Source organism: Homo sapiens, chromosome 1 (assembly GCF_000001405.40).
Source record: "Homo sapiens chromosome 1, GRCh38.p14 Primary Assembly".
Lineage (NCBI taxonomy): Eukaryota > Metazoa > Chordata > Mammalia > Primates > Hominidae > Homo > Homo sapiens.
Window position 1 is genome coordinate 224,793,299 of NC_000001.11, and position 27,749 is coordinate 224,821,047.

A 27,749-nucleotide genomic window follows, 5' to 3' on the forward strand; every position below is an offset into this window, starting at 1 on the left:
TCCAAACAAATTTTTATTCTGGACTCTCACAGTCGAGCAAGGGCTAGGCCAGCCAGTTTTGTGGATTGAAGAGAAGCCAGTTTTGTGGATTGAAGAGACAGAGGCAGAGAATTCACATCTGCATTGGGAAGAAGCACAGAGAATTTCCTCTGGAACAACATAGTTAGAATGAAACCATGGAGCCCTCCTGATGGCTGAGATTGTGCAACTTAGAAACCATGTTCAGTGATGAACACTGTGAATTTCCATCTATTTAGGGGAAAATAACTAATATACCTGCTTGTGTGGAATCTTGTTCTTGGAGGAAAGTATCTGCATGAAATTTATTTTATTAAAAAAGCACAATCAGGAAAGTTCTAGCTGCCTTTGGTTGTTAATAATAAAGTCCCAAACACAAAGACAATAGTTTTTGGAAAAAATACTTTTTAGTTCTGTAGCCAGTTAGAAATGTTGAGTCTTTCCCTAAGGCCAACTAGACAAAATGTCATAGATACTATCTGAGGAAAGAGGAAGGCAAGTTTTTAAAAGCAAAGGAAGGAAAAAAGAATGAAACATGGATGACAGCAAATGTTGGATGACAAAGAATATTTAGCCATGGTATTATTTAAAATAACAACAAATCCACTAAAGACCAGGAAATTGAGACTGATGGATATAAGTAGAGATAAGCCCTCAAACCACCAGCAAACTGGGACTAATCTGTCTGGATGGGCTTTTCCACTCTCTCTGTCTTTGCTCTCACTGTGTCTTTGGTCCAGGGCACCTTTCTTGCCTTGCTCCAGCTGGCAGGATGACACCCATTCTTAGAGGCCTATTTCAAATGTTCTCTCAACTCCAGAATTTCTGCTTGATTCTTTGTACATCAATTTCTTTGTTAAATTTATCTGATAGGATTCTGAATTCCCTTTCTATGTTACCTTAATTTTCTTTGAGTTTTCTCAAAAAATGATTTTGAATTTTCTGTCTGAAAGGTCACATATCTCTGCTTCTCTGGGATGGGTCCCTGCTACCTTATTTAGTTTGTTCGGTGAGGTCTTGTTTTCCTGGATGGTTTTGATGCTTGTGGATGTTTGTTGGTGTCTGGGCATTGAAGAGTTAGGTATTTATTATAGTCTTTGCAGACTATAATATCAGTGCATTTATTATGCACTTTGCAGACTATAATAAGTAGGGCTTGTTTGTACCTGTCCTTCTTGGGAAGGCTTTCCAAGTATTCAAAGGGATTTGGGTGTTGTGATCTAAGTTTTTGGTTACTGCAGCCATATCTGCATTAAGGGGAACTCCAAGCCCAGTTACACTATCGTTCTTGCAGACTCAGAGGCACTGCCTTGGTGGTCTTGGATAAGATCAGGAAGAAGTCTGGGTGTGGTGGCTCACACATGTAATCCCAGCACTTTGGGAGGCCGAGGGGGGCGGATCACCTGAGGTTGGGAGTTCAAGACCAGCCTGGCCAACATGGTGAAACCCCGTCTCTACTAAAAATACAAAAAATTAGCTGGGTGCAGTGGCACGAACCTGTAATCCTAGCTACTTGGGAGGCCAAGGCAAGATAATTGTTTGAACCTGGGAGGTGGAGGTTGCGGTGAGACAAGATCATGCCACTGTACTCCAGCCTGGGCTACAGAGTGAGATTTCATCATGCACACAAACACACACACACAAAATGAAGAATTATCTGGATTATCAGGCAGAGAATTGTTTTCTTCCCTTACATTTTCCCAAACAAATGGATCTCTCTCTCTTTCTATGCTGAGCTGCCTGGAGTTCGGAAAGAAGGGTGACACAAGCACCTCTGTGGCCACCATCACTGGGACTGCGCTGGATGACTTGACGCCAGCAAAGTGCTGGGTCTTGTCCAAGGCCTGCTGTAACGACTGTCTGGCTACTATCTATGTTTGCTCAAGGCCCTAGGGCTCCTTAAGCAGCAGGTGGTGAAGCCAGCCAAGTTGTGTCCTCCCGTTAAGGACCACAAGTTCCTCCATGCCCTGGGCAGGTCCAGAGATGCTACCTGGAGTCAGGGTGGGGCATTAGAAAACTTAGGAATCTACCTGGTGCTCTATACCACTGCAGCTGAGCTGGTACCAAAACCACAAGGAAAAGTTCTTCCCACTCTTCTCTGCCCTTTCCTTAGGCAGAGGAGTCTCTCCCCATGTCCACCACCACCACAGGCCCATGGGGAATACTGCAAGAGTACCATCAATGTTCACTTAAGTCTCAAGGGCTCTTTGTCAGCTTGTGGCAAATGCTGCCAGGCCTGGGACTCACCCTTCAGGGTAGTGGACTCCCCTCTGGCCCATGTTAGGTCCAGGGATGCCATTGGCCAAGGCCTGAAATCAGGGACCCCAAGATCCTGCTCGGTGCACTTCCCCATTGTGGCCAAGTTGGTACCTAAGCTGCAAGACAAAGTCCCCTTTACTGTTCCCTCTGCTTTTCTTAAGCAGAAGGAGTTTCTCCTCTTAGCCACCACAGCTGTGAATATGCGGGGTCACACCTGAAGCCAGCATGTCTGTCTCACCCAAGGCCCATGGCATGTACTACCTGGGTACCACTGCTGATTATTCAGGGCCCAAGTGCTATTTAATCAGGAGGTGATAATATCCTGTCAGAAATGGGTCCTTCCTTTCAAGGCAGTAGATTCCCTTTGGCCAAGATTGTGTCAAGAAATGTTGTCTGGGAGCTAGGGCCTGGAATGGGGGCCTCATGACTCTGCTTGGTGCCCTATCCTACTGTGGCTGAGCTGGTATTCAAGTTGCAAGACAAAGTCCTCTTTACTCTTCCCTCTCCTCTTGAGTGGAAGGAGGAGTCCCTTTCAGAGCTGCAAGCTGCACTGCCTGGGGTTAGGGGAAGTTGGTACCAGCACTCCCTTAGCCACTCCAGCTGGTGTCTCACTAGGTTTTATGCCCCCCACGTCTACTGTCTTCAAGCCCAGTACAGTACTAGGATTTGCCTAAGAGTTGCAGTCCTTGTCACCTAGACTGCCTTTCAAGTTTGTTTAGAACCTCAGAGCACTTTAGCCCATGGGAGTGAGGCTTGGCAAAACTCAAATTCTGACTGCTGGAATGGTTGATTCCCCTCTGGCTGGGGCAGAATCCAAATGCTCCCTCCAATGGCATCAGCGGAGTTCTGTCCAGTGTCAGCAGCACTGAGTTCCAATGCAAAGACCCACTGTTGCCATGCTATCCCTTCGCCAACTGCACAAATTCTCCCTCCATGTCATATTGCCACTGCCTGAGGGGTAAGGGAGGGGTGGTGCTGGCAATTCAAGACTGTCTTTCCTACCCTCTTCAGTGCATCTTTCAGTGATATGAAGTTAAAACCAGGTACTGTGATCACTCACCTTATTTTGGGGTCTTATGAAGGTACTTTGTGTAGACAGTCATCAAATTTGGTGTTCCTGTGGACAAGACAATTGATGGAGGGTTCTATTCAGACCTCCTGCCCCACCTCCTCTCAAATGGCCTCTCTTCTGGAGAATCCTCATAAGGTGACTTGGGAGCTGCTGCAATATCTGTACCCACCTCTAATCTCACTGTGCTGTCACTGTTCATATGTCTGCTTTCTGCTAGAAGTGTGCTACCTCTGAGACCATCTTATTCATTTTTATAGCCCTAGCAAATGCTATAATACTTGAAAAACAGCACTTAGTAAATAATTATTGAATGATTTAATAAATGACTTTCCTTGTTATTTAATAATAGCTTGCTTTCTAATTGCACTTTATAATTTTCAAAGTACATTCACACACACTATCTCATTTACTTTTTGGAGCCTACTGTGAAGTAGGCAAGGCAAGTGTTAGTATTAAATAGGACATAAAACAAATTCAATCACTCCCTCTTAAGCTTTTAGAGAAGAAATGTGATATAGCCCAACTTGTATTGGTTATTGTACAATGAGAAAAAACTGGGAACACTGTATGCTTGATCAGATTCCCTTTTGTGGGATTATTGAAAAAAAGTCTAAGTCATGTCTATATTCCTTCTAATTATCTTTAATTATGAACATATGGCCCTGCTTCCTGAGTCACGATCTGTGAAGCCTAGGCACATACATAGAGATTATAAAACCAGTAGTAATGGTCCAAGACTTTAAAAAAAAAAAATCTGTGTTCTTATCTGGGGTGTGAGCTATGGAGAACACTAAGTTATACTCCCATTTCTTCATTCATCCCTCTGGACACAGGAGAGTTGTGTGGACCACATGTTATGTCCTACTTGACTCCAAAGAAAGCTACTATTACAATGGAGAGATCCTTGGGATTGATGCTGAACTTTTTTTATTTACTTATTTTTTGAGACGGAGTCTCACTGTGTCACCCAGGCAGGGTGGAGTACACAGACACAATCTCGGCTCACTGCAACCTCTGCCACCTGGGTTCAAGTGATTCTCCTGCCTCAGCCTCCTGAGTAGCTAGAATTACAGGTGCATGCCACCATGCCTGGCTAATTTTTGTATTTTTAGTAGAGACAGGCTGTATTTTTAGTAGAGACAGGCTGTATTTTGTATTTTTGGAAGAGACACCATGTTGGCCAGGCTGGTCTTGAACTCCTGACCTCAAATGATCTGCCCGCCTTGGCCTGCCAAAGTGCTGGGATTAGAGATGTGAGCCACTGGACCTGGCCCAGTGCTGAACTTTAATATAGCTGTCTTTGCTCTGAGTTGTGGGAAGATGCTATAAAATCAAGATTCCAAAGAGAGAATTGAGAAAAAAGAAAATGGGAATTAAATAAGGTAATGGACTTTTGTGCTTTTTTTGTGCCTATTTTTCATTCCTTCTTCTGACAATAACTCTAATTTTCTTTGAAGAAACACTGTTCACCCCATATAGTTTTGGTGGGGCAGATTTCCTGGTAAGCAGATAGTTGGAGGTGGACTAGTTCCAGGGGCAACCATGTGACTTCAGCCTGGCCAATGAGCGTCTTCCACCTCCATAGCCACATTGATTGCCTCAGTGTTGTGCACATGACTCAAGTTTCTCCACTGAGATTCAGTTTTGAGGCTTTGTTGGAACTATTCTCCTTCTACTGGAGATGCTAACTAAAAGGAGACTGTAAACCCAGAGCTGGCAGGGGGTTACTCTGGATAGGTCCTGACTAAGATGAAGCCAACTGAGAGCTGAGAAGAGAGAGATGGGCATGGTCTGAATGACTTTTTTGAGCCCCTGTATGCAGTTATACCTAACTTTGGACTTTTCAGTTATATAAGCTAATACTTTATGACTGATTATTATTATTATTATATTTTTTTGAGACAGAGTCTTGCTCTGTGGCCCAGGCTGGAGTGCAGTGGTGCGATTTCGGCTCACTGCAAGCTCCACTTCTTGGGTTCACACCATTCTCCTGCCTCAGCCTCCCGAGTAGCTGGGACTACAGGCACCCGCCACCACGCCCGGCTAATTTTTTGTATTTTTAGTAGAGACGGGGTTTCACTGTGTTAGCCAGGACGGTCTCGATCTCCTGACCTCGTGATCTGCCCGCCTTGGCCTCCCAAAGTGCTGGGATTACAGGCATGAGCCGCCGCACCTGCCCTATAACTGATTTTTATATTTCTGTTTTGTTTGTGTATTTTTGCTATTCAGAATCCTGACCAAAGCATACAACTAGCAGTGGTGTGGTGAGAGGGTCACATGAAACAGGAAGTTGTTCATCCCGGATTTCCTATCTCACAGCATCTAGGCAGAAAATAGGAAAGGAAGGGGGATTAGAATTCTTATGCATCTGAAGAGGATAGTGTGGGTGTGTATAAATGCAGAGGCAGAAGCGAGTGATACAGCTAAACAATCACATGGCAATGTTATTGGCTGGTGCTTCAGGTGGGCACAGTGCTAAAGGGGTGTATGGGAATGGTTTGTAAAGACACGTGGTTGGCATTGTCAATTAGAAATTAGAGGCAATATAGAATTGCTGTTGCTGTGTCTGTATCCAAGGAGCCTTCTTTTATGATCGGGTTGTAAGAAGTCCCTCTGCAATTTGAACGTTTACTTTGTGCAAATTATATTCATGACTCACTTTCCTGCATCTGTCACATATGGGAGAGGTAGAGGAGGTGCATTATAACAATAAAACTCTCTTGACCAGGGATGCTTCATCTGGGGTTCATGGCTTATGTTTATGCTTTAGAGGCTCTATGAACCCCTTAAAAGTAGATGTGAAAACTGCACATATGTGCATTTTTCTGAGAGGGCCCAATTCTCCAAAAGGTAGAACAAAAGACATTTGCTTGGACCTGGGATGAACACCTGACCACAATGGCCAATTAGCCGCTGCCTCTTGTGCATTAAGACTTGAGGGCTAATATCCAGAATCTACAATGAACTCAAACAAATTTACAAGAAAAAAACAAACAACCCCATCAAAAAGTGGGCAAAGGATATGAACAGACACTTCTCAAAAGAAGACATTTATGCAGCCAAAAAACACATGAAAAAATGCTCACCATCACTGGCCATCAGAGAAATGCAAATCAAAACCACAATGAGATACCATCTCACACCAGTTAGAATGGCAATCATTAAAAAGTCAGGAAACAACAGGTGCTGGAGAGGATGTGGAGAAATAGGAACACTTTTACACTGTTGGTGGGACTGTAAACTAGTTCAACCATTGTGGAAGTCAGTGTGGCGATTCCTCAGGGATCTAGAACTAGAAATACCATTTGACCCAGCCATCCCATTACTGGGTATATACCCAAAGGACTATAAATCATGCTGCTATAAAGACACATGCACACGTATGTTTATTGCGGCACTATTCACAATAGCAAAGACTTGGAACCAACCCAAATGTCCAACAATGATAGACTGGATTAAGAAAATGTGGCACATATACACCATGGAATACTATGCAGCCATACAAAATGATGAGTTCATGTCCTTTGTAGGGACATGGATGAAATTGGAAATCATCATTCTCAGTAAACTATCGCAAGGACAAAAAACCAAACACCGCATGTTCTCACTCATAGGTGGGAATTGAACAATGAGAACACATGGACACAGGAAGGGGAACATCACACTCTGGGGACTGATGTGGGGAGGGGGGAGGGATAGCATTAGGAGATATACCTAATGCTAAATGATGAGTTAATGGGTGCAGCACACCAGCATGGCACATGTATACATATGTAACTAACCTGCACATTGTGCACATGTACCCTAAAACTTAAAGTATAATAATAAAAAAAAAGAAAGAAAAAAAAAAAAGACTTGAGAGTGAGCATTTTCCTGTCAGTTTCTGAGAGGCTGGAACTGAGGAGAGTAGACACGGTCTGTGAGCTATTGTGATAGGGGAAAGCAGACACGACACTGCCCATCTGCGGGGGAGAAAGGCAGAACGGATGTCACAGAGTGAAGACATAAGGACGTGTGGCCCCGGAGACAGATGGTGAGAGCTGCTCTCTGAGTTGAGACAGCTTGCCAGCTCTTGGTTCAGGTGCCACGCGATGCCCTGAAGTCTGACTCTGCCCCTGTTTTGCCATCTGTGAGTTGCTCCTGTGCTTTTCCAGTACCATTTGATTCTTTTTTTTGAGAGGTTGGGGGTGGATTTGGTTATGCCATTTGCAAGTAAAAGAGTCCCCAATGAAACAAGGAGTTACAGTAAAAAGACATGACAAAATCCTTGCTGGAAGACAAAGGGGAGCAAGTGGGGGCTTTCCTGCACCCTTTCTCATTTAATCTTCCTGCCATTTTACAACTGAGGAAATGGAGCCTCAGAATGGTTAAAAACCTTCTCAAGTTACATAGCTAAGAAGGGGAACATTATAGTGATGTTCTGGTAAACTTTGATGAATACCATTTTTATTATAACAATAACTTTCTAGTGACTCAGGTATTCATATTGCCTCCTTTTGGGCAATGGGAGTGCAAATCGACACTCCTGGAATCTCTGGCTCCTCCCAAGAACTTATCAACTCATTTCTGTCAAAGATCACTTATCTTCTTTCCTTATTTTAAAATTAATGTTTCTTTTATCTACTAACTTTAATAACTACTTATTTTATTTGAAAATATAGTTATATGTTCATCATACAAAATTTGAAAAACGGGGGAATAGGAAGAAAAGCCACCATCCCATTATCCTAAATCAATCACTACTAACATTTAGATATATTTCCTTCTAACAGATTTTACTGTGCATAGTTTAGGATATTTTGTGTTGTATTTTGTCTCTTGTCATTAGGAACATACTGTAATTATTAGTGTGCTTTACCAAGTTCCTGAGTGCAATAGAACTTTGAGATTGTAGGAAGCATTGGCTATTACTATTGCTACTATTTTTTCTACTGCTATTGCTGCTAGTATTCTTCTTCTTACTACTACTACTATCTCAATTTGGAAATGTACCTTATATTTATAAGGCACATTTATTTATTTATGTTTTATTATTTTTTACTTATTTTATGTATTCTTTATTTCCTTATATAAAGATATGGAAATGTGCCTTATATTTATAAAAAGCTTTCTTGTATGATCTTAACTCATCTTCATCATTCCATAAATAAGGTAAATCCTTTTTGTTCCCATTTTGAGAAGAAGAAACTGGTGCTTACAGAAACCAAATGACTTGCTCAAGTCCATGTGTATTGAGAGAGAGCTGGGACTAGACCCAGTCTGCTCACTGGGAGTGTAGTGCTGTTTCCGTAGAACCACCCACTGCTTCTTTGTCCCATCATCTCCTACAGCCATGGGAGGAGCTGCTTAATGTCTAGTGTTCCTCAGAGGTGGATCACAAATACAAGATGAGGAGTGTAGTTTCAGATGAAAGGGCCACATAAAGCCTTGGACACTTGATATAGGTTGGATTGTTATCCTCTCCAAATCTCATGTTGAAATGTGATCCCCAGTGTTGGAGGTAGTTCCTGGTGGGAGGTGTTTGAGTCATGGGGTCAAACCCTCATGAATGCCTTGTTGCCCTTCCCATGATAATATGTTCGTGCAAGATCTCATTGTTAAAAAGAACCTGGGACTTCCCCTGCTACTTGCCCCCTCCCTTGCCATGTGACACACCTCTGCCTCTTCACCTTCCACCATGAGTAAAAGGTCCTGACCAGAAGCAGATGTTGGTGCATGCTTATACAGCCTACAGAACCATGAGCCAAATAAACTTTTTTTCTTTATAAATTACCCAACCTCAAGTGTTCCTTTATAGCAACACAAAACAGACTAATACAACCCTTCAGACATCATTTTGTATCTTCAGTCTCCTGTCTTAGTGGCTCCATGCTAAAAAGCTTGAGGGAAACATAGTGAGTATATCACCATGGTTCTGGCCCTCAAGAGATTAGGTGTCATTACCTGTCCTTTTTCTTGTGCCATTTGCTGCCCTCTTATTATTATTAAGCGATATCAAAAATTAAGTGATCTCCAGCCTATCTTGGTGGTTGCCATGGAACTCAACTGTGCATCTCTTTAGGCTGGTAAAACCAATTGAGACAGTAGTTGGGCGAGGGGGAGCTGCCTGCGATTGCCAACATGGGAAAGAGCTCTTCAGCAGCCTATGAAATGATGCTTTCCAGTGGGAGGGAGCATGGGGCATAGCCACACTGCCTGAGCCTGGCAGCATATTCTAAAGCAGAATCAGGGCCAAATATATTCAAGGAAATTTCCAAAGAATCTTGAAATAATTTGGGAAATTTATTTTTTTGAGGAGACAGTATAGAAAATAGAAGAACAGATTGGGATTTGAACAAACCAGTGGCTTTCATATGTTTTCTGACATGACTCACAGTAAGAAATATATTGCAACTCTCTATATGTCTGTATGTAAATGAAACAAAAGTTTCAGCAAATAATACTTCTATTACATGCTATGTACTCTGGTCCTTCCATCCCAAACCAATCCATTAAAATAAATGTTAGTTATGACCCACTAAATACATTTAGCACCCATTAATCCAACAATGGGTAGTGACCCACAAATCAAAACATATTGAGATAAACCCTAGTTCAAGTTCTGCTCCTCTACAACTTTTCCATCAGTAAAAGGGAGAAGATGATACCCTCCTCTAGGTGGTTATGTTAATGAAATGCCATCCCACATTGCATTAATACAATAGCTGAGCTCTGCGCTTTGTTTTCTTCACAACAGTATCCCCTGCACCGAGTATAGAGCCTAGTGAACAGAACGTGCTGAATACATGGTAGCTATTTTCATTACAGTCTGGGCTGTTGGAAGCATGCAGGCCACATTAGGGCATCTCCAGCGGGATACAGGGCAGGAGACTTGAGATGTATCATTCTGTGGGCCAATATGAGGAGGAGTATTACAGAGGTTGTTGTAATCAACCAGTTAGCTAAATCTGTATCTATCAAGTGTAAGACCTTGGAGTGGGACCAGGCAGGACTCAAAAGAAACCCTATTTTCTGTAGTCCCACTTACTAGGAGTTTACCTTGTTGAAGAAGTGACACAAACACTGGGAGATGAGTAATGGCACCAGACAAGCTAATCAGTACTGTACACAGAGGACACAGGGATAACGACTGAAGGACAGAGAATGCCAGCATTTTTGAGTTGATGCAATTTTTGTACACAATTAACTGAGAATATAATAAGCTCCAAGGAATGTATTAATGATGAATTTATATGTTATTATTCTCTATAGAATATGTATGTATTTTGTACTCAGTCCATAGACAATGGATTTGAGGACTCCTAACAATGCCAGGGAGACATCGAGGTCTTACTGCTAAGAGTAAGGGCTTTGGAATCATTCCGATGTGGGTTTGTCCCAGTTCTAACACTTTCTAGGTCTGTGGCCTTTGGCAGGTGACAACCTCGGAGTCTCCCAACCTGCTAAATGGGGCTGGTAACTATACCTCCCAACAGTGTCTTTGGGATGATTAAATAGACGAAGGTGTGTAGAGCTCTCAGCAGGGCTTCTGGCAGAGTGAATTTTCAAGAAAGTTAGCTGGTGCTCTTGTTGCTGCCCTTCAGAGGCCAAGGCCCTTAGCAGTAGGAGATGAAAGAAGGGGAACACACAGCCAGGTGGTTGGCTTCCTCTGGCCCCAAAAGCATGTGGTTCTTTCAGAAGTCCTGCAGTTCTGCACGGACATTAGTCATCCTGTAGCAGAGAAGGTAGGAGGCGGCAGAAATTGTTTTCAAGATGGAGGGAATCTGACACAAAGAGGTTGACTGAAGTTTCACATCTTAAAGAAAGTGGAAAAATTGAGCCACACTGAAAAGAGAACAAAACAACAATGGGTTTAAGCTCTGATTTCTCTACTTCGTGAACTCTGTGATCCTTGGCAAGTCACAGAAACCATTTTGAGGTCCAATTTCCTCATCAATAAAGGGAGGATAACAACCCCTTCCAGGAACTCTTGGAGGGTGACAGAGGTGAGGGAGATGCAAAGAGAGTACAGTGAACAATTTTATTTTTGGTGACACAAAGTGGGTATAATCAGCTTGTACTTTTTCCCAGAATAATGCTCTATGTATAATGCCACTCTGGATATATCTGCTTTCGACGTCCTTGTATCCTCCTGCCCTGCGCTACTCTGCTTGCCTCACACTCTCTCCTAATGAACTAAACTCCCACCTGCACACCAGTACCTGTCCCACCCTTGGGAATTGCTTCTTCCTGCCTCAGATGCTTCTCCAGCCCTGCCTGTGAGCCTGGAAAACTGACTTCATCTTTGCCTTTCTTAATCAAATCCCACCCAGCCCCACACATGTAGGAGTTCTATGTATTTAAAGCTCTTCTCCAGGGGATGAACTACTGAGGGGCCCAAAGGGGTTCTACTCTGTTTTGTGGGAGGATACATGTGAAGAAGAGGGACCTGCAGGAGAGCCACACATACCCCAAGCCAACCACTGCCATCCATTGTAGGTGAGTTGGGGCTAAGGAGCTTGGTCTCAGGTGGCCACACTGATGCTGGTCTGGAGGCAGTCATGGGATTCTTCACATCCAGCTATTCACTGCTAGGAAGATGGTTTTGGGGAGTGAGAGACCTGCCGTGGGGAGATGGCTGCTGACCACCATCAGGAAACAGTGTGCTCTCTGAATGACATGGGAATCCAATGTATGACTTCTATTTCGTTAGCATCTCTAGTGACAACCTACAAAGCTCATTACGTTAAATATGGCTACACATTCTTTGCAACAATCCCCATCCAAAGGGGGAGTCTTATTTCTCTATTCCTTTGAGCCTGGTTTGACTTTGTAACTTGTTTTAACCAATAGAGTGTGTCAGATGTGGCATACTATAATGTACAAGCCTTAGCCTCGAGAGGCTTTGCAGTTTCTGTTCTTATTCACTTGTAATGTTGCCATTCTGAAATTGTCAAACTGTGAAGAGGACTGGGATTAAAGACCACATGGTGCAGCCACCCAATTCAGTCCAGGCCCATGCCATCCCATTGGCTTTATGCGGCAGTCTGAGTGAGTCCAGGCAAGACTGGCAGAAGAACCACCCAGTCAATTCACAGAATTGTGAAAAATAAATCACTTAAGCCACTAAATCTGGGGCTAGTTTGTTATGTAGCAATAGCTAACTGATATGAGTACACCTGTAAATTAACAGAGAAATGTAGTGTGTGGGCCTAGCTGGCAGCTAGTCCATGAGATTTAGGGGTAGGACAGGCTCAGAACCCAGATTTAGTGGCTTAAGTAGCTAATTTCGCATCATTGTAGTAAAGCACAGGTCATGCCACAGGCCCCAGGGCAGAGATCTCAGCAGCTGAGCTGGTTCTCCATTTTCACTTAGGGGATCCGGCTGTCAGTTGGGTTCTAGTCTTGTGCTCTAGCATGCATTTCTTCTGCATGGGCTTGGGTCAGCATCTATGAGTCTGCTTCTTTCACTGTTAAGTTAGGATGATAACAGTGATCTTTCAGTTCTGTTATGATCTTGGGCAAAGGACTTTCCTTCTTTGAGCTTCTGTTTCCTCATTAAAATGAGAAGTTGGACTAATTGTTCTTCTGCATCCCTTTCAGCAATGAGTTTGTTTCTTTGATTTCTTGACAGGAACATGTTATGGTTTTTTTATTAAAAATATATCAAATGGTAAGTGTTGGGGAGGAACTACATTACACCTCAGCTTTAAAACCATTTTATGTGCTGTTGTCAGTTTAAAAGTTACATTCTAATCAATTTGAATTGAAATACCTTAAAAAGATGCATTTTTTTTGGTAATGTGAGCCACTAGCATCTGTATTATATTTTTTAACTTTATTTTGAAATAATTTCAGGCTTAAAAAACACAGCACAAAGAATTCCCATATACCCTTCACTCGGATTTCTCCCAAATTGATATTTTACCACAATTGCTCAATCATTTGTTCTCTGTCCACAGAAACACACACACACAATTATTTTTCTAAGATGTTTGAGAGTAAGCATTGACCTCTATATACTTGAGTGTATAGAAGTCAGTACTTCCCTAAAAACATGGACATTCTCTCACCTAACCACAGTGCAATTATCAAAATCACAGAATTAACATTGTCACAATTCTAATGGAAGACCTTAAGGTTTGCCATCTGTCCTACTAACATCCTTTCCTTGGTCCCTGATCACATGCTGGATTGACTTGTCTTGTCTTCTTAGTCTTCTTAATACAGAAGAATTCCTTGGTCTTTCTTTGTCCTTCCTGACCTTGAAATTTTGAAACAGTACTGGCCAATAGTTATCTACAACATAGCCTTCAGGTTGGATTTGTCTGATGTTTCTTTAGGCTTAGATTCAGGTTATGCATTTTTGGCAAGAATACCAAAGAAGTGATGCTTTGTTTTTCTCAGTGCATATCAGGAGTCATAGCCTGTCAATTATTTTGATTATAAGTGATGTTGACTTTGACCATATGATTAAGGTGCTGTCAGCCAGATTTCTAAATTGTAAGTTAATGTTTTTCCCTTTCCAATTAATAAGTAGTTTAGGGGTAAATACTTTGAAACTATTAAAATCCTGTTTCTCATGCTTTCTCCCACTACACTTATTTATGAATGAGTCTAGCCTGAAGCAATTATTACTGTGGTGGCTTCCAATGGTGATTTTCTAATTCTATTATTTCTGCAAGAGCTGATCCTTCTCTCTATCTATTTACACACTTATATCAGTGTAGATTAATGAATTCTTTTGTTTTATTGGATATAGTCCATTGTTGTGTTGGTGGTGGTGGTGTTCAAAATGCCCCATATTGGGCCAGTGGGAACCTCTTCAAGCTCCTCTCCTGTTGTTTTGACAAGCCCTCATCCTGTTTTAAGCTTTCCTTAGCTTCTGACATCACAAGATGTTCCAGGCTTATTTTGTATTTTCAATGCCCCACCCCTGGAATTAGCCATTTCTCAAAGAAGCCCTGGTTCTTCTGAATGGAAAATGGTCTTAAGAAATCAAGTTCTAGGCTAGGGTGCAGTGGCTCATGCCTATAATCCCAGCATTTTGGAAGGCTGACACAGGTGGATCACTTGAGGCCAGGAGTTCGAGACCAGCCTGGCCAACACAGTAAAACCCTGTCTCTACTAAAAATACAAAAATTAGTTGGGCATTATGGCCCACACTTTTAATCTCAGCTACTGGGGAGGCTGAGGCATGAGAACTGCTTGAACCCAGGAGGCGGAGGTTGCAGTGAGCTGAGATCACGCCACCAACAGAGCAAGACTGTCTCAAAAAAAAAAAAAGAAAAATCAAGTTCTAGGCACTAGGTATGCCAATTGGTTTTCCCTTTCCTTGGTGTCATTGTTTCTAGGCCCCCTAAGCAATCAGAGCTAGAAAAATATTTCTATGTGTATATGTATTTATCAATGTACACATACATATTCATTTCTACATTTGTGCATGTGTGTCTGTGTTTGGGGTGAGAGAGAGAGAATGAGCACTATGAGCCTAAGGTCATACTGATATCTCCCTAATTCCCCATCCAAAACCATAGGGTTCATTCTAGCTTCCTCACTTTATTTATTTGTAACTCTTTGCCAACATGAGAAAGCTGGTTCTCTCGTTATCTGCACTATATTTAATTATTTGCTCAGTCTTACAATACACTTAGGGAAGTTTTGGAATTGGTAATGTATACCACTCTGAAAACAAATCTAACTTGAGTACATTACAGTGCTTCAAAATGTGTTCCTTATATTTGTTCTGTACCCTCAGATTCCCTTTCTAAGTGTAGTTATTTTACTCATTTGGAATATAGCTGGGGTCATTTGTTTCTGTTTGTATTCCATTTTGAATTCCCCCACCTTGCCCCAGTCCTTGATGATTTTGCTTATTTTTTTTGAGTATACAAAATATTCTAAAAGTCAGAACTAGGCCAGGTGTGGTGGCTCACACCTGTCATCCCAGCACTTTGGGAGGCCAAGGCAGATGGCCAGGCACTTTTGGCCAGGAGTTTGAGACCAGCTGGGCCAACATGGCAAAATCTCGTCTCTACTAAAAATACAAAAATTAGCCGGATGTGGTGGCATGCTCCTGTGATCCCAGCTACTCAGGAGGCTGAAGCATGAAAATTGCTTGAATCCTGGGAGGCAGAGTTTGCAGTGAGCTGAGATTGTGCCACTGCACTCCAGTCTGGACAACAGAGTGAGACCCTGTCTCCAAAATTAATTAATTAATTAAATTAACTAAAAGAACTACAAAAAATACTGAGAAACGTGTTTACCCCCTCCCCCCCAATCTTTTCTACCCCATTCCAATCCTCCCACCCTTTCCTCTCTCCAGCAGGTAACCAATCTCATTTTTTTCTGGTTATCCTCCCTGTGATTCTCTTTTGCCAAATTAGCAGATCACGTATAATTTCCAGTCCCTGCTTTCTTAGACAAAAGACAGCGTACTAAGGATACTCTTTTGTGCTTTGCTTTTCTCACTTAGCACGGTGTCCTGGGAAGTGCTTCACTTCAGTTTGTACAGCTGCAGGCTACTCCATTGCACTTCTGCTCATTCAACAATTCTCCAACATATGGGCATTTAGGTGGTTGCTACTCTGCCACCTAGAACCTGCTGCTCGCTGCCAGAGCTCCTAGCCTGCCTGCTGTCTACCCTTGAGTGTCACCTTCTGTGGAGTCCTCACTGTCTGGTCCAGCCCTCCAAGGCCGTGCTCCACCAGAGCTGCCTGTGGGCACCCCTTGACTTTGAGTGAGTCCAGTAGTGGCAGCGGCAGGGTTCACTGGCTTGACAAAGCACCTGGCCGAGAGTGTGAAGTGCAAAACATAAACAGGACCTAAAGGAGGAGGGTTGAGAGTTGGGAGAGGTGAAAAAGCGGGTGGCCAAACTGGAAGGTAAAAAGGATCAGAAACCAGAGAAACAAGTACCAGTTGAAATGAGTCAGGGAGAAATGAGTCTGGGTGTTGAAGTTTTGGTCAAGAACTATATTATGAGATTCTCTGGGCCAGAAGCATCTAAACTGTACCAGATACCCACAGCTGTGCTTGGTGTAACTATAGAGACACTGCAGTCCACTGGCTCCTGGTGACCGTGACTGTGTCGTGTGTCTGTGCACACCAGCTTGGCCAGGCTGAGCCCCTTTTGGAACAAGAAGTACCTTGCTGGCTTCTGTCCCACCCCAGAGAGCTGGCCTATTTCCATTCGCTGTCTCCCAGGTGAGGCCGTAAGCACTAGGTTCTGCTTGGCTGAATTCTGAGCAGTGCAGTTCCCTTCCATGATCAGTACCACTCTCTGTGGAACAGGCAAGCCAACTTTGCAGATAAGAGGATGGGAGCTTGTAAAGGTCATCTGACTTGCTCAAGGTCACCCAGCTACTTTGTGACACAGGATCAACTCCTCCATATTAGGAACAGTAGGTGCAGTGACTAAGACCCGTGACAGAGGTCTGTGAAAACGTTTTTATTTTCATTTCTTTTAAAATCAAAAGGAAGAAAAGAATATAATTCCAATCATAATGAATATGTGATAATGAATTCAGCCTGGATTATATTCATCTCTATACCAACACAGTTGTAAAATATAATCGTTAATACTTTTGAATGGAGGAAGAGAATTGCAAAGGCACAGAAGTGCCTAGAGTCTCTGAGAGTCATAGCGTGGCCCTGTAGTGGCAGAGTGGGGACTAGAAAGTTCCCCGTTCTGCGTGCAGTGTTCTTTGGCCTTAATTAGTGAGGGTCACTAACTCTTGGGTCTTTAAAAACAGGAATCTGAGGACAGTGTCCATCAGAGCCACACAGGGACCAGGAGAGCCAAAGAGGAGAGGAAACTTCCCCTCCCCTGGCAGAGTTCTTCATTCCCATCCCCTATGGTGTTGCCAGCAGCCTCAGGCCCCAGGCCAGGAGTGCATGTGGGAGGGTAGGACAGGTTACCCCAGTGGCAGTGTGGCCCCAGCATGTGTTTTGAGTATATATTGACCATATATTGAAATGTACATCCAGTTACTCTTACTTGCTATTAGCTTTTGGAAGATTTTTAATCTGTAAACAGATAATAATAAGGATATGGTTTGGCTGTGTTCTCACCCAAATCTCATTTTGAATTGTAGCTCCCACAATTCCCAAGTGTCATGGGAGGGACCAAGTGGGAGGTAATTGTATCATGGGGGTGGGTCTTTCCTCTGCTGTTCTCATGACAGTGAATTAAGTCTCAAGAGATCTGATGGTTTTATAAAGAGTTTCCCTGCACAAGTTCTCTCCCTTTGCCTGTTGCCATCCATGTAAGACATGACTTGTTCCTCCTTGCCTCCCACTATGATTGTGAGGCCTCCCCAGCCACGTGGAACTATGAGTTTATTAAACCTCTTTTTCATGACTAAAGACATACCCAGTCTCGGGTATGTCTTTATTCAGCAGCGTGGAAATGGACTAATACAATTTCCCTCACATAATAGTTCAGAAGATAAAATGAAGTAAAGTGGGCCAAGTCCTGAGTGCTCTTCTACACAGCAGGTGAAGTTTAGCTCTTTTCCTCCCTCCTGTGTGCTTGCCACAGCCTGGGCACAGGGGTAAGTCTCTCTCTCCCTCTCTCTCCCCATTCTTTCCTCTCCCCATCCCCTGTCTTTGGCTGCCTGAAGCTATCTGTGCTGAAGTTGTTATTGCCTTCTGTTGTACCTGTGACAAGTGGAATGTGAGAACACTCCACTGGATTCATTTTAGATTATAAATAGAAGAATTATTTAATTTTTTTCAAGTCACTTGCATTTACTCCAACAGTTTGTTACTGAAACATGCAGTCCTGAACACAACAGGACTTGACAATAGAAAATGTAGCCCGAAGAATAAGTAATTATTTGCTGCAAAGAACCAAAATAACCACATCAGGTAGATACAGGGGGATGTTTTCAGGTTTCAATCAGCACTGCTGGGTGGTGGAGAGGGAGAGGTAATTATAAATGTGACTTCACGTGGTTTGATGCCATCGCCTTCCATGTCCTTTGGTTGACTGCTGCCTCTTTGATTTCAGTGTGTTTGTGTGAGAAAGCGAACCTGAAATGAGACACAGCCTGGAGGGGGATCCATCTATTTGCCCTCTTGCCCTCATGCCTGACTAGGGAGGATGTGGTAGCTGGCTTGGTCCGGCCTACACAGGGACTCCAGCAATCCATCTTGTGGGTTTCTCCTGGGTCAACCTGAATGACAGGATGGTGATTTTTCAGACGCATGGTAGCAGGAGAAAAACTTTCTGTGACTTCACATGGAGGCAAGAGCGAGCCGCCATTGTCACATGTGCTCCTTGAAAGAAGTGTGATGTCTTCCCAGTCAGGAGATACAAAACCCAACCTTGCATGAAGCAGGGGGGCCAGTTCTGATGCCTCACACAGCTCCTCTCACCCAGGGAAACTCAGCCTTGATGAAAGAGGAACAAAAAGCAGGCAGGAGAGGCCCAGGCTGGGCCCTTGGCTCCCTTGCACTGCGGTAGTTGGCCCGTCTTCCACCCTGGGCTGTTCGTCCCAGGAGAGTGCTGGGAACACATCAGGAAGATTTGAATGTCTCTGTTCTCTCCAAATTTAGCTTCTAAATTATAAGGTGGCCTGACTTTCTACCTGTAAAATGGGAGTTTATTCAGGTTAACTGAGAAATAGAAAATAACCCAACCAGGTGCGGTGGCTCATGCTTGTAATCCCAGCACTTTGGGAGGCTGAGACAGGCAGATCACTTGAGGTCAGGCATTCGAAACCAGCCTGGCCAACGTGGTGAAATCCTGTCTCTACTAAAAATACAAAAATTAGCTGGGCATAGTGGTGCACACGTGTAATCCCAGCTACTCAAGAGGCTGAGGCAGGAGAATCGCTTGAACTTGGGTGGTAGAGGTTGCGGTGAGTGGAGATCGCACCACTGCACTCCAGCCTGGGTGACAGAGCGAGACTCTCCCCAAAAAAGGAAAAAAAAAGTAACCAAGAGGTTGCAGCAGCATCCCTGTCCTGCAACCCTGACTCTGCCCTGGCATTCTGTTCCAGGTTGGCTTTGCCCTTCATCAAAACAGATATAAACCTGGATCCTTTCCTGGTACAAAAAAAGCCACTCACTTCAAGCACTGGTCGAGTGCATTTACTTTCATGAAGATTCCAGGGCCCAGGATGAGGTGCCCCAGAGCACACACATCCCTCCTTCATGGCCTCCCATGGATGAGGGAGGATCTATACTCCACACTGTAGGTTAGATTCCCCATCTTCTCAGCATCTGGGCATCACCACTATCAGTGCTGTTCAGAGCCTCTGCCCCTGCTCAGAGCTTATTTGTCAAGATTTTCCTTCCTAAGTACATGAGGCTGTTTCTCTCTACAGATATCAACTGCTTTGAGCTTTATCGAAGCTTGTCTGTTTGGCTTTGTTCAATGTGAGGGGCCATTTGTTCCTCAAGGTCAAATCAAATATCACACGGCAGAAACAAAACCTAATTGAGGGAATTATTCACTATGTATTTCAAGTTCAAATACAGAGGGTTTGTAGCAATCCTGTGTCAAGATGGCTCACTGATTTTATTACAAATTGTTGAGAAGAAACTAGAAATCATTTGTTTCTACATTTTTTTCAATTTGTGGTTTGCAAAAGCAACTAGTGGGTCAAGGACAGCATTTTAAGAAGTGAAGTAAAATGGAATAAAAACAATACAAAATAACACTGTGCTATGTTCTGAATGTTTGTTCCCTTCCCACCCCCAAATTCATTTGTCAAAACCTAATTATCAATGTGATGATATTAGGAGGTGGGCCTTCAGGGAGGTGATTAGGTCATCATGGTGGGGCCCTCAGAAATGCGATCTGTGCCCTTGTAAAAGAGGACTGAGGGAGCTTGTTTTCTCCTCCACCATGTGAGGACACAGCAAATGAGAAAGCTGCCCCTCCCCCAGATACCATATCTACTAGCACCTGGGCTTTCTGGCCTCCAGAACTGTGAGAAATAGGTTTCTGTTATTTATAAGCTACCCAGTTTATGGGGTTTTGTTATAACATCTCAAACAGACTAAGACACTGAAAACTATAAAACATTGCTAGAAGAAATCAAAGAAGATACAACTAAATGGAAAGACATGCTGTGCTAATGGATTGGAAGACTTAATAATGTTAAAATGTCCCTACTATGCAAAAGCAATCTACAGATTCAATGCAACCCCTATAAAATTCTAATGGCATTAAAAATTATTTTGTTTTAAGTTCTGGGATACATGTGCAGGATGGGCAGGTTTGTTACATAGGTAAACGTGTGCCATGGTGGTTTGCTGTACCTATCAAACCGTCACCTAAGTATTAAGCCCTGCATACATTAGCTATTTATCCTGATGCTCTCCCTCCCCCAACCCCTACCAACAGGTCCCAGTGTGTGTTGTTCCCCTCCCTGTGTCCATGTGTTCTCATTGTTCAGCTCCCTCTTATAAGCAAGAACATGCAGTGTTTGGTTTTCTGTTCTTGAGTTAGTTTGCTGAGAATAATGGCTTCTAGCTTCATCCATGTCCCTGCAAAGGACATAATCTCATTCCTTTTTATGGCTGCGTAGTATTCCATGGTGTATATGTACCACATTTTTGTTTTCCAGACTATCATTGATGGGCATTTGGGTTGACTCCATGTCTTTGCTATTGTGAATAGTGCTGCAGTGAACATACATGTACATGTATCTTTATAATAGAATGATTTATATTCCTTTGGGTATATACCCAGTAATGGGATTGCTAGGTCAAATGGTATTTCTGGTTCTAGGCCTTTGAGGAATCACCACACTGTCTTCCACAATGGTTGACCTAATTTACATTCCCCCCAACAGTGTAAAAGCATTCCTGTTTTCTCCACAGCCTCACCAGCATCTGATGTTTCTTGACTTTTAAATAATCACTCTAATAACATTTTTTAGAGAATAAAATCCTAAAATTTGTATGGAACATCAAGGGACCCTGAATAGTCAAAACAATTTTGAAAAAGGACAAAGTTTGAGGCTTCACATTCTCTGGCTTTAAAACACAGTACAAAGCAAAAATAATTAAGATGATGTGGTAGTGGTATTAAGATAGATATAGATGAATGAAACAGAATAGAGAATCCAGAAATAAACCCTTGCATATAGGTCAAATGATTTTTGACAAGAGCAGCAAAACTACACAATTGGAAAAAGACAGTCTCTTCAACAAATGGTACTGGGAAAACCGAATATCCACATACAAAAGAATGAAGTTGGATCCTTACTTTATATCATGTACACAAATTAACTCAAAATGGATTAAAAACCTAAATCTAAGGCCCAAAACTATTAAACTTCTAGGAGAAGACATAGGGGAAATCTTCAGGGCATTGGATTTGGCAATTTCTTTGAGATGACACCAAAAGCACAGACCACAGAACAAAAAATACACAAATAGGACTATATCAAGCTTAAAAACTCCTGCACATCAAAAGAAACAGTGACAAGGCAACCTATGGAATGGGAAAGAATAACTGCGCATCATATATCTGATATCTAGGATATATAGGGAACTTCAACTCAACAAAAACCAAACAAGCTGATTAAGAAATGGGCAAAGGATTTGTATAGATAGTTCTTTAAAGAAAGTATCTGAATGGCCAATAAGTACATGCAAAGATGTTCAGTATCACTAATTATTAGGAAGGTGCAAATCAAAACCACAGTGAGATACTACTTACCCATAGGGATGGCCACTATCGAAAGAACAGAAAATAGCAAGTGTTAACAAGGATGTGAAGAAATTAGAACCCTTGTGCACTGCTGGGAATGTGAAATGGTGCAGCCATTATGGAAAACAATATGGGTTTTTTTTTTTTGGAAAACTAAAACTGGAACTACCAATTGATCCAGCAATTCCACTTCTGGGCATATATTCAAAAGAACTCAAAGGAGGACACCAAAGAGATTTCTGCATGGCAATGTTCATCATGGCATTATTCACAATAACCAACATGTAGAGCAACCCAAATACCCGTCAACAGATGAATGGATAAATAAAATGTGGTACATAAATACATACAATGAAATATTATGCAGCCTTAAAAAAGAAAACCCTGTCACATGTTACAACATGGATGAACCTTGAGGATATTATGCTAAATGAAATAGGCCAGTCTCAAGGACGAATACTATATGATTTTACTCATGAATTATCTAAAGTAGTCAAACTCAGAAACAGAAACTAGAATGGTGTTGTCTTAGTCAATTCAGGCTGCTATAACAGAATACCATAGACTGGTGGCTTAAACAACAGAAATTTATTACTCACAGTTCTGGAGGCTGGGAAGTCTAAGATCAAGGCACTGGCAGGTTTGGTGTCTTGTGGGGGCTGCTCTCTGCTTCCAAGACGGTACCTTGCTCTGTGTCCTCCAGATGGGAGGGATGCTCTATCTTTACTTGGTGGAAGGCAGAAGGGCAAGATGCCTGAATGCTGCAGGAAGCTTCCTTTATAGGGGCCTTAATCTCACTCATGAGGGAGGAGCCCTTATGGTCTAATCACCCTTTAAAGGCCCCACCTCTTAATACTATCACATTGGCCATTAAGTTTCAACATCTGAATTTTGGAGGGAACACATTCAAACAAGAGCAGGTGGTTTCCAAGGGCTGTGGGGAGAGGAGGAGAAGTTAGTGTTTAACAGGTATAGAGTTTCAGTTTTGCAAGATGAAAAAGCTCTGGAGATCTGTTACACAACAATGTGGATATACCTAACACCACTGAACTATACACTTAAAATGGTTAAGATGGCACAGCTAATGTTATGTGTTTTTTACCACAATAAATTACAAAATAAATTGAATGCTTCATATAAGATGAGCCTTATATATTGCTTTTAATATATCTGTTTTGATTGTGTATATGTGAATATCTTTTATATATTGGATCATTGGATCATGATATAAAATTGGTTTCTTATTGAGGTCATCCTGAGAAAAGTTTGAAAATCACTGATTCTATTTCATTATTTCTCAAACTGTTCTCTAGATTATTCACTTCAAAATTGCATTAAGGAAAGCTTTATATATATATATATGAGTTTATTAAGGAATATTGACTCACACAATCACGAGGTGAGTTCCCACAACAGGCCGTCTGTTAAAAATGCAGATTCCAGGGTCTGCCTGCTTGGAGGCTGTGAGGTGAGCCTGGGAATATGCACATTTAATAAGTTTCCCCCAGTTGAGTTTTATGTTTATGCACTTAAAATCTACTGGGCTTCTTACTCTGTGGCAGGAACAGCTTTGTGCCTCATGTGTATTACCAAGTTGTTAATATGAATGGGAAGGCAAGATGTGGAAGGCTAAGCAGTGGGCTGGTATACAGATCAGCCTGGTGCTCAGTGCCACTTCACCGTGTTTCACTGCCTCTGCATGGTGATAACAGCACTCAAATTTGTGATCCTCTCGTTTAAAAAATCATGGAGCAGAGATCCAGAGAATCCCGTGTAGCAATTGCTCAGAATCACATTAATAGTTAATAGAAGAACCAAGACCAGGACTCAGGCTCCAACTACAGGCCCACCCCTCTGCTCCTGAGGGGCTGTCTTTCCCCCATGACTCTCTGGCTCCTTGCCTGGGAGACTGTGGTCTTTGATATCTCAAGGGATGTCAAGATGGACTTCCTGAGTAGCCTGTCCACAAGTGGCATTCCCCCTTTCCTCTCATTCCAACCTCAGGTGCTGTCTTGGGTAACACACTCAATTTTCTCCTAGAGAAAAGCACTTCCCCAAGATCCTTCTACAGAATGGTCTCATTACCAGAGTCACCTCAGTAGCCATTTGGAGTTCCTGGAAACTGGCAAGTGTCTGAACTCAAAGAAGGACAAAATGTATTTCCTTCCAACCCTTGAAATTGAGGTTAGGAGTGGTTGCCTTCGTTTTCATATCCATGATTTTTATTTAGATATGACTCCCTGGAAGGATGGACTAAGTCATGGTAATTTATTCAAAAATTGAAACCAAATGCTCTTCCACTCAGTACTTGTGATTTGCATTGCTTTGAAACAGTATGAATATGCAGAACTAACAGTGTGTCTTTAAATTTCCCCCAATATTGAATCCCTACATTGCATGTAAAGTTTGTCCTTGAATTCCGTTAGCCGAGGGCCCCCATCCAGCTCCCTTCCCTTGCACTCTCCTGCCCATCAGACACTATGTGCAGGTGCTATCAGGTAAGCTTTCATCAGCTGAGCCTCTTGGGGTGATGGGTGACTTGGGATTCTTGAGAACAGGGATGTGATGATTAATTTATGTGTAATTGCCTGGGCCAATTCAAACATTATTTTGAACAAACATAAGTTTCCGTGAGGATGTTTTTGGATGAGATTAACATTAAAATTAACAGACTTTAAGTAAAGAGGATTGCCTTCCCTAATGTTGGTGAGCCTCCTTAATCAGTTGAAAGCTTAAATGGAACAAAATACCTCCCCTGAGCAAGAGGAAACTCTCTAGCAGACAGCCTTCGGGTTTCATCTGCGACATTAGCTCTTCCTGGTTGTATAACAGACTGCCTATAACTCAAACTGCAACTCCTTCCTGAGTCTCCAGTCTGCCAGACTCCTCCATCAGATTTTGGACTTGCAACCTCCACAATTGTGTGAGCCAATTTTTTATAATAAGTCTCTTTCTGTCTTTCTATATATATGTACACACATCCTATTGGTTCTGTTTCTCTGGAGAACTCTGCCTAAAACAAAGGACGAGTGTGTTGCCACTGCTGTAGTCTTCTCCCCCATTAGGGGAACTGGGAGGGTTCTTGTGTTTTCTGTCTTTTGTACATGTAGTCAGAAAAACATTGTTAAGCTCTCAGCTGTTCCCTAAGTAGCCCAATATTCCCCAGACCTCATCCCCCATGAAGGAAATTAACAGGAATAATAACATTCTCCTGATTTGTGTCCCAAGCAGCACAAGGAAGGATCCTCAGCTCTAATATAAAATCTTGCCAGTGGTTCCTTGAGGTTCCTAGGGGTTCTCTCATGAGAACCCTCAAAAGTCATGTCATGCACCCCTTGTTAGCCCATGAGGCTCACAGCTGCCACTCCAGGAAGGACCCACCCTCAGGGAGGACACACTGCCCATGAAGAGCAGCATCTCTGCTTCCCTGCAGTCTTCCCTGGGCTGGTTACCCAAGTCCCAAGCAGAAAGGACATGCCCTTTCCATGTTCTGGTCAGTGTGTGTTCTCCTGTATTGTACAGAAGCCCCTGAAACTGCACCCTCAGCTTCTCCATGCAGCATCTCTCCATGACTGTGGAGTCCATGAGACCCAGCCTCTTTCCATCCCTTTCTCTTCCCCAAGCCCTGTCCACAATCATGGGCCACACAAGCTTCTTCCTCCCTTGCTAGATCACTCAGGCAAATAGATGCCTACAGATTCCCCCACTCTATACTCCTCAGATATGCCCAGAAAGGTCTGGACCCCAGGTGCAGGCACAGTGCAGACTGAGCCAGGATCTTCATTTAGCTGGGCATTGCATACATGTCCCAGTTGTCTCCCTAAGGAGTTTACAAGCACAGCGAGGCACCTACCTCTCCTAAGTACCAAACAGAGTGCTAGCACAGGCCTTCAGTTGTCCATCATTGAGTGCAGGAAGCTCTACTTGTGCCTAGAGAGACAGAAAGTCATTGGCATGAGAAATAGGCAGTAAAGGGAAGCACCATCTTAGCATTTCTGTATGAGCTCCACTTCAGAATACATGGAGCTTAACCTCTCAAAACCCAAATGCCTAACCAGCTTGTTGTATTCTTTTGCCTTTTGTACCTTGTGGAAGGGGTTGGATATAGCCAGAAGGAAGGAAATGGCACATAATCAGGGCTTCTTCCTAGCAGCCTAGTTTACCATAGTTGTGGGGGTGGAGACAGGTGGTTCCATGGCAGGGGAAATAGGAAGTTGATTTTTTCTCCCTGAATGCGTGTACTGCCCTCAAAGACCAAAATTATCTTCTCAAAAGTACCATTCTAATTGTGTCCTTTCAGTGCCTAAAACTCTTCAATCACTTCCTGGGGCCTTAAGATAAAGACTCAAACCTTTAAAGTGACCTACCAGGCCCTGCATATCTGGCCCCTGCCTCTTTCTCCCTGGCCATCTCATCCTGGGTGCCCTCTCCCCCAGACTTTCCTTCAGCTCCTTGAGTACGCTCTTGTGCCTTCTCCCCACAAGCCTTTATCCTCTTAGCCCAGCACTCCCTCCTGGGGAAGCTTTCCTTGATTTCCAAACCATCTCCCTGGTATATGCCCTTGCAGTACCATGTGGCTCTTTTTGTTCTTATCACAGCGTTAATGTAAAATTCAGTGAATATCTGCCTGCCCGGTTAGCTGGCAAGTTCCAAGAGACTGAGGACACGTCTCCATAGCCTCATTGTTTTCAGTTCCTAACCCAAGGTGGAGCACAAGGAGGCCTTCCATGAGCATCTGCAGATAACAACACTGGAAAAGTTATTTAATGTCTTGCAACCTCAATTATGTTATCTTACTGATAAGATGGGGATGATAATGTTATCTACCACATAGGAGCATTGTGAGGATGCAGGCTGATAATGTATAGAAAGTGCTCAGACCAGGGTCTGCCTCCTTAGAAAGCATGCAACAAATGGCAGCCAATATAATTCTATTTACTTGGGGGTAGAAGCAGTGGTAGCACTAGAGATAGCATTATGATACAGCCCTTGCAATATTTTACATCAACCAAACACCTTTTGAGAGAGTTGGTGTTCTGGTTATCTGCTTAACAGACCACCACGGAACAGTGGTTTAAAATAATAATTAATATTTATTTTTGTTCATGTGTCTGGGGTTTGACTGGGCTCAGCTATGCAGATTTTGCAGACAGATGGTGGTGTCTGCATTCATGTGTCTGGGGCTTCTCAGGATCTCTGTCTCTCTGGTCTCCCCACGTGGTGGCTTCGGGGTAGTTGAACCTTCTCACATGCTAATTGGACTGAAGATTCCCAGAGCAAATGTCTCAGAAGATCAGCTGAAGCTGCAGGGCCTTTCCTGAGCTAGCATTGGAGATGATAGCATCACTCTGCTACATTCTATTTGTCAAGGCAGACACAGGTTCTGCCCAGACTCAAGGGAAGGGGACATAGACTCCACAGCTTCATGACAAGATGGCCAAAGAACATGCAGACACGTTTTGAAACTTCCATGGATGTGGCAGGTGTGTAATGGCCAGATAATGGGACCACAGTCTCTTGGCATTTCAATGATGTTTCTGGATTAAACCCCTAAATATGAATTTACAATTTTATAAGTCTCATACATAAGCCATAAAAATCAATCTTACCAGTCAATAATTCACAATCTTCATTAGACTTTAAATTGGCAAGACTTCCACTGTCAAGTCTTGGGCCTCAGTGGGACCATTTCCTTAGATACAAGAAAGAAACACAACTTGCCTTTTAGCACATTTCTGTGTCTGTGAAGTG

The 27,749-nt window shown here is 42.9% G+C and overlaps 1 long non-coding RNA gene across 2 annotated transcripts, besides 1 other annotated feature; it reads right to left on the reverse strand.

The window, feature by feature from the left end:
• LOC105373108 (uncharacterized) lies at positions 1-27,749 on the reverse strand. Of its 2 annotated transcripts, XR_001737826.2 has the most exons (4): positions 27,608-27,749; positions 25,852-25,928; positions 3,338-3,394; positions 1-118 (listed from the first exon to the last, which is right to left on the reverse strand). It is a non-coding gene; the product is annotated as an uncharacterized LOC105373108 (long non-coding RNA). The 2 variants fall into 2 exon arrangements; XR_001737827.3 differs by lacking the exons at positions 1-118; positions 3,338-3,394 and adding an exon at positions 9,103-11,173.
• Positions 7,386-7,929: an enhancer, noted in NCBI's record as "OCT4-NANOG hESC enhancer chr1:224988386-224988929 (GRCh37/hg19 assembly coordinates)". NCBI's record gives its function as "activates a minimal SCP1, AML or CMV promoter by ChIP-STARR-seq in naive H9 embryonic stem cells {active_cell/tissue: H9 hESC(naive)}" and the evidence as "EXISTENCE:reporter gene assay evidence [ECO:0000049][PMID:30033119]".